General features: G+C 50.1%; 1 protein-coding gene across 2 annotated transcripts in view, besides 4 other annotated features; it reads left to right on the plus strand.

Moving 5' to 3' along the window:
- STUM (stum, mechanosensory transduction mediator homolog) overlaps positions 1-9,815 on the plus strand; it is a 60,467-nt gene extending 50,652 nt beyond the window's left edge. The window contains exons 3-4 of one of the 2 annotated variants that reach the window (NM_001003665.4): positions 1,251-1,259; positions 2,591-9,815. In NM_001003665.4, coding sequence (NP_001003665.1) covers positions 1,251-1,259; positions 2,591-2,625 — 44 coding nt within the window. In that variant the 3' untranslated portion in view covers positions 2,626-9,815. The remainder of the gene's footprint in view (positions 1-1,250; positions 1,260-2,590) is intronic. The other variant, NM_001410930.1, reaches the window with a different exon arrangement.
- Positions 2,551-3,087: an enhancer, noted in NCBI's record as "H3K4me1 hESC enhancer chr1:226789667-226790203 (GRCh37/hg19 assembly coordinates)". NCBI's record gives its function as "activates a minimal SCP1, AML or CMV promoter by ChIP-STARR-seq in naive H9 embryonic stem cells {active_cell/tissue: H9 hESC(naive)}" and the evidence as "EXISTENCE:reporter gene assay evidence [ECO:0000049][PMID:30033119]".
- Positions 3,088-3,623: an enhancer, noted in NCBI's record as "H3K4me1 hESC enhancer chr1:226790204-226790739 (GRCh37/hg19 assembly coordinates)". NCBI's record gives its function as "activates a minimal SCP1, AML or CMV promoter by ChIP-STARR-seq in naive H9 embryonic stem cells {active_cell/tissue: H9 hESC(naive)}" and the evidence as "EXISTENCE:reporter gene assay evidence [ECO:0000049][PMID:30033119]".
- Positions 4,833-5,512: an enhancer, noted in NCBI's record as "H3K27ac-H3K4me1 hESC enhancer chr1:226791949-226792628 (GRCh37/hg19 assembly coordinates)". NCBI's record gives its function as "activates a minimal SCP1, AML or CMV promoter by ChIP-STARR-seq in naive H9 embryonic stem cells {active_cell/tissue: H9 hESC(naive)}" and the evidence as "EXISTENCE:reporter gene assay evidence [ECO:0000049][PMID:30033119]".
- Positions 5,513-6,192: an enhancer, noted in NCBI's record as "H3K27ac-H3K4me1 hESC enhancer chr1:226792629-226793308 (GRCh37/hg19 assembly coordinates)". NCBI's record gives its function as "activates a minimal SCP1, AML or CMV promoter by ChIP-STARR-seq in naive H9 embryonic stem cells {active_cell/tissue: H9 hESC(naive)}" and the evidence as "EXISTENCE:reporter gene assay evidence [ECO:0000049][PMID:30033119]".
- Positions 9,816-16,731: the final 6,916 nt, after the last annotated feature.

The raw sequence follows: 16,731 nt of genomic DNA on the forward strand, positions 1-16,731 counted from the left end.
CTTGTGTGTCTGAGAGTGACTCCTTTGAAGGGAATTATCACAATGGACTTTTCTATCCTAGAAGACAGTTGGATAAGGGACTCTTCTTTCTGGTGTCAGTCCAGCCCCTTGCTATAAAAACAGAGGAAACTTTTCAGTTGTAACAGTACACTTTGGCTTTTCGCATGGCATTGCCTGGGGTGTCATCAGCAAACACACTATCATGAAAAACTCCTAAGAGGGGAGTCAGAGAAATCTAGATGAAAGTGGGAGTTAACATCAGGAAGTTGCAAGCATGTTGCTTGATTTATATGAATAACAACAAATAACAAACAACAACACCCTGTCTTGGTCATGGGTCAATAAATACTTGGTAGCTCTATGGTGGGCTCTTTCTACTGCCATGCCCATGGCAGACATTGCTAATCAATCATGACACTTTCTGGTGACCAGTCTCACATGTTCTCAGCACAGGGCTTCAGGCAGTCACTACTAATTGATCCAAGAGGTCTGCAAGATAAAATCTGTTTGCCACCCTCTGGCCTGGGTCTTCCCCAAAGTATTTTTATATATGTGGCTCCTCTCCATAGAAATGGCTAAGCACATAGCTCAGACAGAGCCAGTGTGGGGCCAGGATGGGGCACATCAGCATCTTTAGATTGCTGTAGTCAAAGCTCTAGCTGTCCAGGAGCTGCCACTCCTCATGTCCATCTGGAATTTATCTGGAGGAAGGCATGAGCTGAGGATGAAAAAAAAAAGGCTAGGTGCTGTGGCTCATGCCTGTATCTCAGCATGTTGGGAGACTGAGGCAGGAGGATCACTTGAGACCAGGAGTTTGAGGCTGCAGTGAGACATGATCACACCACTATACTCTAGCTGGGCAACAGAGTGAGATTCTGTGTCAAAAGAAGACAAGAATAAAGAATGAAGGCAGCAGTGTGGGCATGGCCAGGATATGGAGGGCTGGGGAGGCAGTGGACCAAGCTCCCTGGCAGTGTGAGAGCCCCTCGCTGTGCCCCTAGCCACACCCACACGCCTGGTGGGCAGACCACTGGCCACTGTGGCTGTCACCATGAGTACTGAGCACTCCCTGCCTGGGGATGGCGTCTGAGAAGCCACTGGCATGGCCCCTGTCCCATCTCCCAGGCCTCACCATGGATCTGCTTTGTTTCCTGTGCCAAGCGTTCCCTGTGGCTCTGTTTTCAGGCTGTGTTTTCTCTTCTTCTCTCTCTCCTCTTCCTCCTGCTGCCTCCCACTCTGTGCTGCTGCAGTTTCCCAAGGTGAGTCTGCGGATGGACGTGCGGGCCTCGTGCTGCTGCTTGGGGCCCTCCCCTCCCCCGAGACCCCCACTCCTGCACACAAACACCCCACCCACTCTCCCAGTGGGTCAATGGGCTTTTATGTTTAGCTTGAACTTTTGGTTTGGAAAATGCTTAAACATAGACAAAAGTAGAGCCCCTAGTAAAATGAGGCCCTAATGCCCACACCAGCCTCAACTGCTATCAATTCATGGCCAGCCTCCTTTCCTCTGTCATTCGCCACATCTCCCCTACCCCAGCATGGGTTATTAGCACCCAAAATTGAGAAATACTCTGCTAAATGAAGAGAAAAAAGCAGCTCAATACACCAAAGCTCCTCTTCAGACTAAGTTCACTGGCTAATAGGAATAACCGCTCGGCAAATTCTGCTCATGTAATAGCAGCTGGGAATATTTCAGTAGGTATCGTTTTTTTTTTCTTCTTCTTCTTTTGAGACAGAGTCTTGCTGTGCCTCCCAGGCTGGAGTGCAGTGGCGCAATCTCGGCTCACTGCAACCTCCGCCTCCTGGGTTCAAGCGATTCTCCTGCCTCAGCCTCCCGAGTAGCTGGGACTACAGGCACATGCCTCCACGCCCAGTTAATTTTTTGTATTCTTAGTAAGACGGGATTTCACTGTGTTAGCCAGGATGGTCTCAATCTCCTGACATAGTGATCTGCCCGCCTCGGCCTCCCAAAGGGTATCTTCTTAAGAAAACAAACACAATACCCTTTCACACCTAAATAAAGCAGTAACAATTCCTTACTATCCACAGAGCTCACTTTTTCCCAAAGGACTCATGATCAACAATGTTTTAAAGGTTTAGCCTTCAGGCGCCCTTTCCTGCCGTAACCGTCCAGCAGGTTGGACGCACACAGGGATGGCTGCTCCCCTCTGTATGCCATCTTCCTCCTTTCTTCCTCCTTCTATCCACCCATACCAGATGCCCAACCTTCGGGGAAGCCTGCCTGGCACCTGCTCCCAAGGCTCTGCACTGGGAAAGCACACCAGACCAGTCTGTAAGCGGCTTCCAGATGTGGGTTCAGGAGCATGTCGATAGCCTTTTAGCTCCCACCCCAAATGCCCGCCCGTCATACATTCCCAGTAGACCCAGTACTCCACATTTCCTGATTCATTCTTTTGTTTCCCATTAGAAAGTCAAAGCCCTTGGGAAAAGTTGTGCTCTGATGGTAGCAGTCATTTACACCTTAGTATAAACAATGCCTCCTGTGTGCATTCTGGGCTAGGGGCACCTCCTGGAGAAATCCTGAAGTAAGCAGGTGTCTAACCATCTCTCCTTTGCTTCTTCCTCACAGGCTACAAGGAGCAGGGCATCCCACAGCAGCTGTGAGCCCACGGGAGCCGCTGGGGAGATCCAGGGGGGCCCTGTGAGGGCTGCACCAGGCAGCTTTGGGCACAAGGACCTTTACATGTTCTTTTCTGCCATTTTCTGGACTGGGGGTGGAAAGGGGGTATTTTTAAAAATATTATTTATTTTGAAAACGCATCTGCTTTTCTCAGCAGGTTGTGAGGGCTGCCAGCCCCTCCTGCTCTGGAAAGCACTGTGGGCGCAGGCACCAGAGCATCAGAGAGTGGGGTGGAGATGAGAACGCCCACAGAGAGGCTGGGATGCTCCGGCAGGCTCCAACTGGCCTTGCTGTACCCACTGCCCACCGCAAAGGCACGCCACGTCTGCTGGGCCGGGCCACACCGGGCCCTGTCTGGGTGAGCAGGGGCTCACCAAGGGGACAGGACTGTGGTAGACCCGTCCTGTGGGACCCCACCTGCCTCAAAATCTGGTGCCCCGAGTGTTTACTGTGTGGTCTCCTGGGGGCAGCACCAGGGTGTGGGTGAGGATGGCCAGGCTCCACCCTAGCGTGGAAAGGCCCACTGTGCCCACAGCTGGCCTGAGGCCTCGGGGAGAAGACCAGTCCCACAGGCGTCTCCTGGGCCTGCCTCCCTGACCGCACCCCCCGCCTCCTCGCAGCTGAAATCTGAGGGCTGGGTGTGTCGTGACCTGTGTTTTCCTGGGAAGGAGAGGAGTAGCTCCTTCCCTGGGGTGAAACTGCCAGATGTTTATACACAAAGTTATTAGACTGAAGCAGGAGTGGGCAGACTAGCAGGCTTTCACCCAATACTTAACAGCATTTCTGGCCCACATTCCTTTTTCTGAAGTCATTGGGGCCAGATGTGTCTCCGAATTGAGAAATTTTAGATTTGAGAAAGACAATGCGATCCATTTATCGTACACTTTCTAACTTCCCGGCAGAGTGTGGAACATCTCGCCTACCATCAGGCACGTGAATATTTCTGCAGAGAAACATGTGACTAGTCCCATTAACTGGGAGCTATACAAACTGTAAATAGCCTCACCTCAGTTCAGTCTAATTTTGCCACTAAGTAACTTAGGGAAAAACTTACCATTTGAGAGCTTTTAGGGTTTCAGAATTGCAAGAACAATTGTATGGGGTTGTGGACCTTGATCTGAAAATCCTGCTTGCAAACAGATGTGTTAGAGGGTGAAATTGTCGGCATTACACAAGGACTCCTTCAGTTGCCAAAAGACCATGGGCCTCTTTAAGGAGCCCCTCTGTAAGTGATTGGGACAGGGCTAGATCCCTAATGGGGGCTAGGGGTGGGGAGAATCTAGCAGAAGTTGTCCAGGATACTGTGGATCAAGTATCAATCTGAAATTAAGAGAAATTAGATACTAAGAGGATGGACATTTACATGTCTGTTTCCTTTCCTTTCATTTTCATTCTAACATAGGAAATGCTAACAGATGGGGCTGGCCCAAAGTCAAGCTTCTGACTCCACTTGACACAGTGCCATTGGGCATGTCCCTCTCTGAAGGGCTTGTTTGTCTATCAGAGACTGTCAGAACTCCATGAGGGCAGGAGAAGGGATTTTGCAGGATGAAAGTGCTTGGGAAGTAGTGGCCACCGTTCTGGGGGTTTCAGCCCACCTACCCCATCCACCGGGCTTTCTAATCACAGTCCTGCCTGAGAAGCGGGCCCTGCTGCCCACCCCTTATCATGGATCCCTTAGCTACTGTCCGTCTTCCATTGCTGCCTGGGGCTGGGCTGCCGTTTTTGAACACCTGGCAGTGTCTTTGTCGCGTCCTGTCCTCTCTTCTTACAGACCCCAACCCAGGCCTTTGCCTTCTTCTCTCCTGTTTGGAAGCCTCTGTATCTTCAAGGTGTGGGAACAGATTTGGTTTTCTCTAAAAAGCTAGAACCTTCTGCTGTGTGCAGCAGGCATCCTCCAGGCTGGTGCTGGCTGCTCTCGAGGAAGCTGCGTCAGAGTGGAGCTGCCCCTCTACTCAGATAAAATAGCTTCAGCTGCAGGAAGCCGCCCCCTCCCATGCCCACCAGCCCACAGCCCTTCACCCCACACAGCCCCCAGAGTTTGCCCGACACCCCCTGAGTGATGACAGGTCTCAGGAGGGGGCCGCCCCCACAAATGGGAGGCGGAAGCTTATTTTCCCCGCTTGGGCTGGGGGCGGCTGCTGAGGGGGTGAAGAAGAGATAGCAATTTATGTCGCATGTTTAGTGACACAATCCAGATGCAGGTGGGACTTTCTTGAGTGGCAGGTGTCACCCTGGGTCCCGTGTGGGATGGTTTAATACAGGGGTTTGTGTGTTTGTGTGTGTGGAGGGCCACTGCGCCCCCAGATCCTCCTCTCCCCCGAGGGCTGCGTCTCTAAACCTGGGAAAACATCAGCCTCAGGAGGAGGCCCCTTTCCGGGTAACTGATGTGTGGGAGAAGCCAAGAGGCCCCTGCCTGTCTCCTGAATGAGGCTGTGAGGGTTGCCATGTGGGCGGGACCGGTTCAAAATAGCGCCCCCGCCCCTCTAAATTAGACCGTGGTCTCAGCATGATCATCTTCAGTAGATAAGGGACAGTGGCTGATTTACTCCAAATAGTTCCAGCTGGCCACTCAGACCAGGGCCAGAGTTAACTTCTCAAACACCAGCCAGCTGAAAATTAGGGTTCTCGTGCAGGCAAGTGCATGGTTGACACACAGCCCTTTGGTGACAAAGCTGGGCTTTGCCTGCATAGTGCAGACAAGGCTGTTGGTTCAGAGGCTGCAGGGCACATTCCAGGTTGGGGCCTTTTGTCGGTCGGAATTCAATAGGACATTCCCTGGCTGTGGGTGTTTAGGGCAGGAATTACAGGCTTGCAGAGAAAGTCAGAGGCAATGAGATGCTCCCAGTACCAAACTGTGACACTGGGATCAGGGTGGTCATTCCCTTGGGTCAGAGTGGGACCCTAGAGCCAGAGTGAGCTGTGGGTGGCCTGGGTGTGTCCTGTGGACGGCGGAGACTGTTGATTTGGATGTTGAGCTCTGAGTCAGTTTCAGAACCAAGGATCTCAGGCTGAGAAGGCCAGGTCCCCATGGGAGCGGCAGGAGTCTGATGGCTCTGCTGCCAGAGCCTACCCCAGCCTGCCACGCCGCTGACCTTCCCATGGTAAGGAAGGGGCAGGCAGCATGGTTCCCACCCTCAGCTGCCCCAGACCCACACATCCAGCCCCAAGAGCAGCCTCACCCAGGCACAGTGCAGGGCATTTTAGCTCCTGGGAGGGGAGATGCCTTTGTGAGTTTCAGATGTCAGAGGAGAAGCTCCGAGAGAGTAAGTCATGTGCCCCCAAACACTCAGCTCCTAAGTGGCAGGACAGGCAAGTGGCCAGGTTGGGCCGCCCCCACAGCCTGTGCCGTCCACACACTCACTACAGCACTCCCAGAAGAAGGAGCAGAATCGCATGCAGCCCAGAGCAGGTCCTGTGGAGGGGTCCTCACCCCTCAGGAGTAATAGGGTGATTATGTCACATGTTTAGTGATACAATCCCACCTGTGTCTGGATTGTGTCACTAAACATGCAACATAAATTACCATCTCTTCTCCATCCCCTCAGCAGCCGCCCCCACCCCAAGCTGGGAAAATAAGCTTCTCCCTCCCATATGTGGGGGCGGCCCCCTCCTGAGACCTGTCATCACTTAGGGGGAGTTGGGCAAAACCTCCTAGGAAGGTCCTGGACGCCTCCACCCTGCCCCACAAGGCTCCGTACTCCCACCTGCCTGGGCAGCCCTCACACCCATGCTCCCTCCTTTAGGCAGGCCCAGAAAGGTGCCCCTTCCTGAGGGTGTTGGGGGATGGCGGCAGAGAGACAGCTGGTATTAGGAGCTTCCCCATCCTAATGTGCAGGACCAAGTTGCCCGCTCTGCCAGCCAGGGGCTCCAGCCATGCTGGCACAGGCATCTCAGAGGTGTGAGATGAACTCCGCCTCATGCAGGATGCCCAGGGCTCGGAAGCAGTAAGGAGGATGCTACAGAAAGGAACTGCAGAAAGAAAAAAAGCCACATGGTTAACTTTTCCCCTGGAGGGCAAAGGGGTCCGGCTCTCAAAAAGAAAAGCCAGGCACAGATCCCAACACCAAGTGTAAGGCAGCACAAAGTGGGTCTGAAACCCCAGGACCGGGTCAAAGGCCTTCCGAAGGCCCGAGGTTCTTGAGGAGGGGAAGCTGATAGGGCCCTGGTCTTTCTGCACCAGCGTGGCTCTTTAAAATACAAAACACCCACAAAGCCAAAAACCCTGAAACATGTTCTTTAGCTAACCCCTTCCCTGCCCAGATGCCTGCAATTCTGAGAATTCACTTCAGTTTTGCCAGATCCAACCCCTAGGCTTGAGGGTGGAGAGCCAGGCCTCCTCAGGGTCCCTTCTAGGCTCCCAGGCCCACCTTAGGCTTTAATTGCATTGGCTGTTTCTTATGGTGTTAGTGAATTTTGCAAAGAAAGCCCTGAGCATTGCATAAATGCTTGGGGGCGTGTCATTTAAATGGAAGTTCTCCAATAGTGGCTGAAGGCAGAGTTTACTGTTATCCCTCCCTCTTGCTGGCTTTGCTGGAGGGCTTTTATCAGAGAGATTGGAGGTGGGAGAGCACTTTTAAAGCACACCCCACCCCCTGCACCCGAGCGGCACCTAAGCTTCCCAGAGACCATGACCTTGTATGTGGCTGGAGGCCTCAGGCTTAGGGAGCAGCCTGAAGCCTTTGCTGTCAACCCTCCCAGGAAAGAAGCCGGGCCTCAGGCTGAGGAAAAACAGAGTTTCCTCTCCAGAGGGCTCAATGAGCAGCCAGGTAGTGGCCTCGGGCAGTCCTCACCAGGGGGACACCTCCCTGCTTTGCATTAACTCATCAGCAAGCTCATCGAGAGCTAACGTGGGCCCAGCAGTCCTGTGCTTGGAAATGATGCCGTCACCTCCACACTCCTGCTGTTCCAGCCTCTGCAGGTGAAGCTGCAAGGTGAGCAGAGGCAGGCGTGGGGACACACTCTTCAAGGACTGCACTGCCCCTTCTCCCTCCTGAGAGCTCTGTGCACTGGGTTTGGGGATGAGGCGCCAGCCTGGTCAGGGGAGGTGACTGTGGTCCTTCTGACCAGCTTGGATCTTTAAAATAATCACAAAAAAGCTCAGCCTGAGCAGGTGGGTGCAAGGCTCAGGGGCCTGTGTTTTTCATCAATCAGTTTTCTTCCTGCAAGATTCTTAGAGCTGGATGTTCACGGGATCATGGGGCATGGAGGTGGTCACGCTCAGACAGTCATGCACCACCCTCAATCCCAGGCCCTGCAGAGATAGGAAGAATCCCAACCAGAGGGATTCTTCCCCAAACGTTCCCTTGTGGCCCAAGAGTGAGTTCCGGCCTGAGTGCTGTTATGACTGCCGGCGTCTCTCCGACTGCCTCTCGCCTCAGTTTAACCATCTATAGGTTAGGAACAAAGAAGGGCTTAGGCAGCCATCGTTTCCCCATTTCTGTCAGAGCCAAGGGCTTGGAGGCCCAGCCCCATCCGGGCAAGGGCTGTCCGCTCCTGCCCAGGCCTCACCTCCTCGCTGCAGCTGGCAAGATTCTTTCTAGCAGAACAGAAACACTGGCCCCCAATTCCACTCTCCCCTCCTGATGCTACCGCAGAGGGCAGAAAGGTGCCCTGTAGCGTCCACCATGTGTGTGTCCTGAGTTTCCAGTGCAAGTCATCTGGATTTGCATTTAGCTAGGGAAACTCGGCCCTCAAACCCTCTCCCTCTCTGCCTGAATTTGCCAAAATGCCAACCATCCGGGCAGGTGTGGATGCCACAGTCCATCCCCATTGCATTTCACCCCCACATGGACAGAGGCACACACTCGCACACATTCCCAGCACCTTTGACTGCTGGGGGATGCAGGCCAGGGTCTGCCTGGAGCCTCAGGGTTGGGACTTATCTCCAAAGGAGCCCACACCCCCTCTTCCAGGATGGGCACTGGCTGGCAGCACTTTTTTCCCTCATCACATCCCTGACCCCTGCCCAGCCCACATGCACATGCTGTTTCCTGTCTCCAGGGCCCTAGCCTGTGGATCTCTTCCTCCCATGCACTCCTAGGGTGAATGGGCTCAGCACCAAACCTGGCTGTGCCCATTCCCCACAACCCCAGCTTGGCCTCCTGTGGGAAGGAGAAGGCAGACCTGCCCAGAGGAGAGGGGCAGTGTTCCCACCCACCTGCTCCAGCACAGGAACCAGGGAGGAAAGAAGGGAGAGGGAGGTTCCATTCACCGTTTTCTGGGTTAGCGCTTGATTGGATGTTTCAAGCAAGGGACAAGGTGATGGTGGCTGTAATAGGCTCCTCGTGGGCACCGTCACCCCAGAAGGCCTGGGCACCCATGAGAACCTGTGGCCAGCCCTTTTCATTGGCTGAGTTCCCTGCTGTTGTGCGTGGTGCCATTTTTTTTTTAAACAACATATATAAAAACAAAACAACTGGTTCTGTGTGTATCAACTTAATTTGCATATGAATGAGTGTTGTGTTGTGATTTGCAGTGTTTTGACACCGTGATTGGCTTTGTTTGGGTCTCTCTTCTTTCTGTGAAATTAACTGCTGTGCGTTTTCACTGTTCTTAGAGAAGACCCTGAGCTCCTGGGGTTTTCTTGTCTCACTTCTACCCTGACCTGCTGGGAGCCCACCCCACCCCAGTCCAGCCATGAGGGTATTTCCAGCCTATTCCAATGACTGAAACCCTTCTTGGAAGAAAACGTCTAATGTCGGGGACGTAGGGACGCTTCCAGACTTGCCCTGGCCGGAACCCTGCAGCCTGGGGCCCCAGCCCGCCTGCAGCTCAGCTTTCCCCAACACCCTCAGGACCCAGCCCCAGCCCCGGCAGACCTTCCCTGGGAGCTGCTTAGGTGGTCTCCACAGCGCCCTCTAGGGGCCAAGCAGGGTTCCAGATTCTCCAGCCTTCTGCCAGCTTTAAAACCCTTCACTCAAGCAGCATTACTGTACATGCAATGAAAAATACTATATATGACAGTCAAAACCTGTGTACATATTTCCATGTACATATTTATACATACACACACCTTCCTATTATAAATATATAAAGCATGACATCTCTTTGGCATTCCAAGTTTGTGTTTTTTTAAATCCTTGGAAATACGGCTTTGGAAACCTTTTTCTTCCTTTCCCTCTTTTCTATGTTGTAATAAACATTCATGTGACCTTTCTGGTAGTTTCTCAAATCCCTGTGTCCTCCCGTGTTCCTAATCGGACAGATCTCTGGGACAACGCGCCTTCCTCCCCACCTCTGCAGCCTTTGCTATTGGTTGGCTTTCCGTTATGAAGGCTGTCCTCCCCCAAGGCGGGTCTTGAGTTCTTTCAGACCTTTTTCCCGAATTCCCCTTCTTCCGAAAGGCTTGTGCAAGTTACTCTTCAAACAGCCTCATCTTTGATAATCTGATCCCTTTGCAACCAGGAATTTGCGTGCTAAATCAAGCATCAGGCCCCAGATTGAGTTTACCAAGAATAAGTGTACAGATGCAGCTCATTTCCTGCTGTTAATTGTTAGACTGGTTGATGAGGGAAATGTGGGCAACATACATATTTGACAAAGACTTCTGAATAAATGAGAGTCTGGGTAAGAGTGGTTAGGAGAATGTATAACTACCTGTTCAGTTACAACGAAGGACAGGTTGCACCTGGGAGAGAATTGCATCCACAACCCAGCCAATGCCTTTACTCATAATGGGATGAAGACCTACAGAACTGACCAAATTTGTGGATAAGGAGAAATAAGTATATTAGACGAACAAATCAGAATCCCAAAATCTCCTGACGGGCAGAGGCAATCTAACTCGATGAAATCTAATAGCATTCAATGAAAGAGTTGTGCTTGACATGAAGAAAGCTCCGTGCTTTCCTTCATCCCTGGGGAGTTACTCAACAGGCAGCTCAGTGTTCTTCACGGCATGCTGGGGCTGACTACACAGGCCATCTGGTTTCAGATGCACGAGGAGCTGCAGGCTGGGGTCCGGAATGAAACCGCATCTGCAGCGTTGCATTCAGTACTGGGTGCCATGGGGGAGCAAGTGCTCTGACAACGAGTGTCCAGGTGTCATTCCTGTCACTCACACCCAAGGGAAGGGCCCCGCCCTGCCTCCTGCCATTTCCTCAGGCCAGCCCAGCACCCTTAGGGTCCACTTACCCCAGGAGAGGCTGCAGTCTTAATGGCCTCGATGCTGCTGTTGTCCAAAAGAGTGAATCATCTTCAAAGCACAACCTCTGGTGAGACTTGAAGCTCTACTGCGATGGCCCCTCCAAGGCCCCAGAAATGGCATCTGTGCCTGAGGATGATTTCAGTTGCTGCTAAGACCAGGACCTAAAGCCCAAGGCAGTACAATGACCTAAGGCACTCTCAGAGTCCCCCAGACACTCTAGGGAGCATTTTGTGATCACTTGCATTGTCCAAACACTCGATGTGCTCAGATTAAACTGGAATGCCCCGGCTGGAGGATTCTTCTGCAGTCACTCAGTTTCAGAGGGGCTCATCAGAAGGCACAATGGGAGATAAAGTTAGCTCCCCTTCCAGCACTGCCAAGTGAAGGGAAGATACCATTTGAATGTACTAACTCACATTCCTTCTCTTCTCCCAGCACCAAGCCTCTTAACCTCAGGAAGGGTCACGTGGGTTGAGCCAGCCACTGCCTCTCTGCTGGGGGGTGACAACTTTGACAGAGTTCTCCTCAAACCCAGAAGGAAAGGGCTGTGACAAACATGTAGGCATCTGCTCCCCGCAACTCCCTACACCCCAGACCCTAGGCCCTGGGAGAGGCTCATGCTTGCCAGTGGCCAGTCACAGGAAGGGACACATGAGGATGTGCAGGGGACGAGGGGCTCGAGGAGATGGGAAGGCAGTGCTTGGGTTTGAGGACGGGGTTGGCGATGCATTCCTCAGAGGAGGAGCACAGCCCAAACCTAGTGCAGTGAGAGTCCCAGGTGGGGGACCCTGGGAGGCACATCAGTGCAGGCTGCATGTTGGGCCACCGAAACCAGAGGATGGGTCTTCATTCCCAAGAGGACCAAGATGGACATTTCTGGGCTCCTAATACCAAGTCAGCCTCTGAGTAAAGCCTTAGGGAAGGGTCATGGGACCCAAGATTCAGTTTACATAAAACACGTCAGGAACAACTTGGGGTGATAAAGTTGCAGGACTTTTCCTTAGTTCAGCCAAGAAAATTCAGGCTCACAGACAATTTGAATGGTGAGTGAGACAGGGTTTTATTGGGTGAAAAGGAAGAAAAGGGGGAAACAGGGAGTCTCGCTGGGCCAGAGACCCTGCTAGAGCGCTTCCTGCCCACAGCTTGAGTCCCAGGTTCCACATAGGAAAGGGGGGGCGAGGCTCCTCCCTGCTGCAAACGTCATGAACTTCCCAAGGCTCCACCTCACTGTGCAGGCCGGTTGGAGTTTCTGCAGTGACCCCCTCCCACCTGGCTGTCCCATTCCCGCCTCGAAAGAAGTCCATCTAACTGCCCTTAGATTAAGGATAAGGATGAAGACTGATCTTAACTGCTTCCTGCTGACAGGGGGCACTGTTTTTGGGAAATGGCAGTCAGAGGTCCCTCAGATGCCTGTCTAAGGGTCCCCAGCAGAAGAGGCCATCATCAGAAGCTCCGGTTGCATGACTGTTCAGAGTTTGATGGCCTGAAGGCAAGAACAGACAAACGGGGTCATTAGAAAACATGTAGCAAAACAAAACAGGCCAGGCGCAGTGGCTCACGCCTGTAATCCAGCACTTTGGGAGGCTGAGGCGATGGATCACCTGAGGTCAGGAGTTTGAGACCAGCCTGACCAACATGGCGAAACCCCGTCTCTACTAAAAATGCAAAAATTAGCCTGGCATGGTGGTGCACGCCTGTAATCCCAGCTACTAGGGAGGCTGAGGCAGGAGAATCACTTGAACCCGGGAGGCAGAGGTTGCAGTGAGCCAAGACCATGCCACTGCACTCCAGCCTGGGCAACAAAAGCGAAACTCCGTCTCAAAATAAAACAACAACAACAAAAACAAAAACCCAAAAGGAAACACAGGGAGACAAGGGGAGGGGTAAGGACAGCTCAAAAATTCTGAGGCCTTTTACCAGTTTGCACAGGGAGAGGGAGGCCAAAAGCCCAGCTGGCAGAAACTGGACCCTTTTGCTGGCACGTTGGGCTTCTGAGTTCCCTTCCCCTGAGCCTAATCCTAAGCCAACCAGTTTAATGTTTGGGAAATTAACTCTTTCCAGTTTGGAGGATGCATCTGAGGGAATCGTCCCATAGTACGGAGACACAATTACCTATCAGTGAAGAGAGGACAGAGGAGAAGAAAGGAAAAAAGAAGACACCGTCTGAAGGAGTCCCAGGGGTTCAGGGTGCATTTGAAAGGGGCACAGACTGCAGATGAATGGCTACCCATCTGGAAAGAGGGGAGCAGGTGTCCCTGGTTCCCTTCTCTTCCTAGCAGATACCCACGGTACATGAGGGAGAGAGGAAAGAGTGTTCTCTTTCCCTCTTCCATCCTTGCATCCCCGAGTCCCGGTGACCTTGGCAGGTGCCGCCATGAGTGCCAAAGTGGCTTGCACCCATGAAGCAGGGAGGGCCTAGAGAATAGGAATTATCCGCTCTCATCTATGCCTCTATCTCCTACTGTCAGTAGCCTTGGAGTTCCCTAGACCTCATTTATGCCATGGATATTTATGCCGTGGGTTTATCCATGAAACAAGAAGCTTGGGTTGGCTTAATTGGCAGGAATGAGCCATGCTCACCTGCACCGTGCCTTTTAACCTCTGTTGTCATTTGTCTCTGGATCCCTCAGATCCAGTTTTCCTTCTTAGGACTTTGACCCAAAGCTTGAAATTGAGTTTGGGACAAAAATGTGTCTCGGTGGGGGGTGGGGGAGGTGCATGGACTCCTTATCATAAGCCAAATGCTAAGGTGAAACTGTGGAATTGAGTCCTCCTCCAACAAGGGGGAGAAAAAGATGTCTTGTGACACAACCAGATAACTGGTGGCTATAGTTATGCTTGCGAGGGTTTGGGTGCATGGTCCTTGGCTTTGATTAGCTTTCTTGGTCTTACTTTTCCAAAAAGGAAACCTCCAAGTGATGGGCATCCTATGTATTCAAATCACCTAGCAGGACTTGCAGGATAATTGCCCAGAGCTAGAATATTGATCCAGATTTCTACATTACCCATCCCTTTTGTCCTTTCTGAGCTGCAGCTGGAGATTGCTGGTTGGTTCACAAGAGCAAGCAGGGTTAGTCTAAAATGTAGGTGAAAACTTAAAAACAACCAATGAGTTTAGAATTTAATGACAAATGTATAATAAGTTTTGAAACATGATTTCTCTCTCTCCAGTCCTCATTTTTGTTAAAAAATCATCATAGGACTGAATGGTTTGCAAAATAGACTTTAGTCTTATACTTGGCCTGATTAATTGCATAAAGTGCAGCAAGAATAATTATTTCTACATAGGCCTCTTGGATTGGCTTTGATGCAAGTTTGTTCCACAAGGAATCTCAGATAAGACCGTTTAATGCTGAGCCCAACCATGGGTTTGTATCCTCAAACAACTGTGAGTTTACCTTAAGGTCCCAAGATAAACTTGGAGCTCCCGGACCTGTTAGAAAGTGACATTCTTTACCTGTACAGGGTAACATATGATGCAAACAACCATATTACCGTAAGAATACTCACAGATAGTTTCCAAATCCTAGAGGAACCAGGCAGAGAGAAACAAACATGCTCCAAATTTTTGTTCATAGGAGTAAACCTTACTCAATTATTAAAGGCTGTAAATAGTTCCAAGTGAGTTTCCTTAACTATGAAAAACAAAACAAGAATCAACAATATTCCAATCAAAAGTCAAAAAGATTGCTTCAGCTTTCTGAGTTCAGTTCATTTAGTTAACTCTTCTTTTGTTTGATATTTGTGAACATTTCAACTCTTCACGAGTCCTGTATATTTTCCTTTATTCTAATGTTACAATCTCCAAAGTTATCAGAAGCCTGTATATGAGAGCACCTGTTAAAGTTCTATAGCTTATTATAAACCATCTTTTGAAAAGAATCAAAACGAGACAACAATTGTCTGTGAATAGCAAAATGTCCAGGATAGTTACAGTTAGAAACACAATTGACGAAGTTTGGTTATCTTCGCGGTTTACGATAACTTAACATACCAACCTTAATTATGATTGATAGCATATACTCAGACATTAGAATCTTAGAAATCCCATACAATTTTGGAACATATGTTTGTATTCACAAAAGTACAGCCTAAAGAAGACTGAAGATCATTCTGGCAATTCCATGTACCTAAACATGCCAAATAATCCTGTTTACCTCTTTTTTTGGGATGTTTCAGGGACCCTCTGAAACATCTGAAAAGCCAGGTATCAGAAAAGACAATTTTGAAACTTAAGTTTGATTTCCAGAAGCCTTTTAAATATGTTTAAAGCACCTGATACTATGAAATAGAGTTCCAGATTACCACAAACTATTTATTTTCTCAAAATCATGACTCAGAAATTTTGAAGAAGCAAAAGCTTTTTATAACCCTTTTGCATTTAGTTAATATGTTCACACAGAGAACCTCTTCTACAAAATTAATTTCCACAGCTTTTCCACCACTTGTTTGAACCTTCAGCTTTCCCTATCTAACTCAAAATAATCCTTTAACCCTAGGCAAAAGTTTACATTTCCATGCCTTCTTATAACCTTTTACATAAAAATCACATTTTATTCTTCTTACACCCCTTGCATGTAAATCTATTTTCGCTAGTTTCAATTACATGTCATAATTGTAACTCCTAGCAATTTTTAACTTAAAGGTAAAACTTGGTAAGTTGAATTGTGTGCTAACTGCAGCCAATGTTTGCCTTCTTACTTAAGGGCCTGGTTAGTTCCACATGTCCCCAAGCCCTACCAATTACGAAGCCAGCAAGTCAAATAGTTCTCAAAACCCAAAAAGCAGTTTGTAACCTGAAAACACTTAGCAAACTTTGCATCTGACCTGCATTAATAATCTTCACGGCTGTTTTTATTTCTCAAAGATTAAAGTCACATGAACTGAAAGGTACCACGGATTTTATATTGCCTTTAAAAAATATTTGATCCAGGCCGGGTGCGGTGGCTCATGCCCGTAATCCCAGCACTTTGGGAGGCTGAGGTGGGCAGATCACCTGAGGTCAGGAGTTCGAGACCAGCCTGGCCAACATGGTAAAACCCCATCTCTACTAAAAATACAAAAAAAAGAGCCAGGCGTGGTGGCGTGCGCCTGTAATCCCAGCTACTCAGGAGGCTGAGACAGGAGAATCGCTTGAACCCAGGAGGCGGAGGTTGCGGTGAGCCGAGATCGCGCCACTGCACTCCAGCCTGGGCAACAAGAGCAAAACTCCATCTTAAAAAATAAAAATTTTTTTGATCCAAGCGCTTTTCTTGAGGCAAAATTAATTAGAGCTCTTTTTACAGACATCACACACAGTACATACACAGATAGGCACAAGAAAACCCATTTGCTGGGTGGGGCCCTTTAAGGGACAGGACTAGGAAAGAGGAAGATATCCAACCAGAGACGGTCATCCCCTAAGGCAGGATTGTTAAATAAAGCCTTGCCAAGTGGTTACTGGCCATGCCCCAGGATGTAAAACAAGATGGAGGCTTGCAGCACAAACCATATAGACCTGCAAAGCACACCAGATTGGCCACAGCCCAACGCTAGCCCCACAAATCCTTTTTCACAATTAAAGCTTTACAGAGAATATAAACAGGGATTCTTATCATTCCTAGCCTAGCAAAATGTCTTCTAGAAAGAAAAAAAAAAAAAACAAAACTTGCTTAAACTTAACTGCTGATGGGGCGGAGAAGAGGAAAGAAAAAAGGTTTAAAAATCCCTGGGGACGAACCTCTTATTCTTATACAAGTGGTTCCTCCATCAGGGAGAAAAGTTTACTGCCTAATGAAGCTCAACCCCTTGGCTGGGGAAGGGGACGGCTGCTGTGGTGGTGCGTGGCTTGAAACAAGCCAGCCAGCTGTGTGAGACCCTTGGGCCATGCATCCCAGCTTCTGCACAGAGGGGAGAGGGAGCAAGGAGCCCCCGCTGGCCCGTCCTTCCCCCAAAAGGAAGG

The sequence above is a fragment of the Homo sapiens genome, chromosome 1 (genome assembly GCF_000001405.40).
Source record: "Homo sapiens chromosome 1, GRCh38.p14 Primary Assembly".
NCBI lineage: Eukaryota > Metazoa > Chordata > Mammalia > Primates > Hominidae > Homo > Homo sapiens.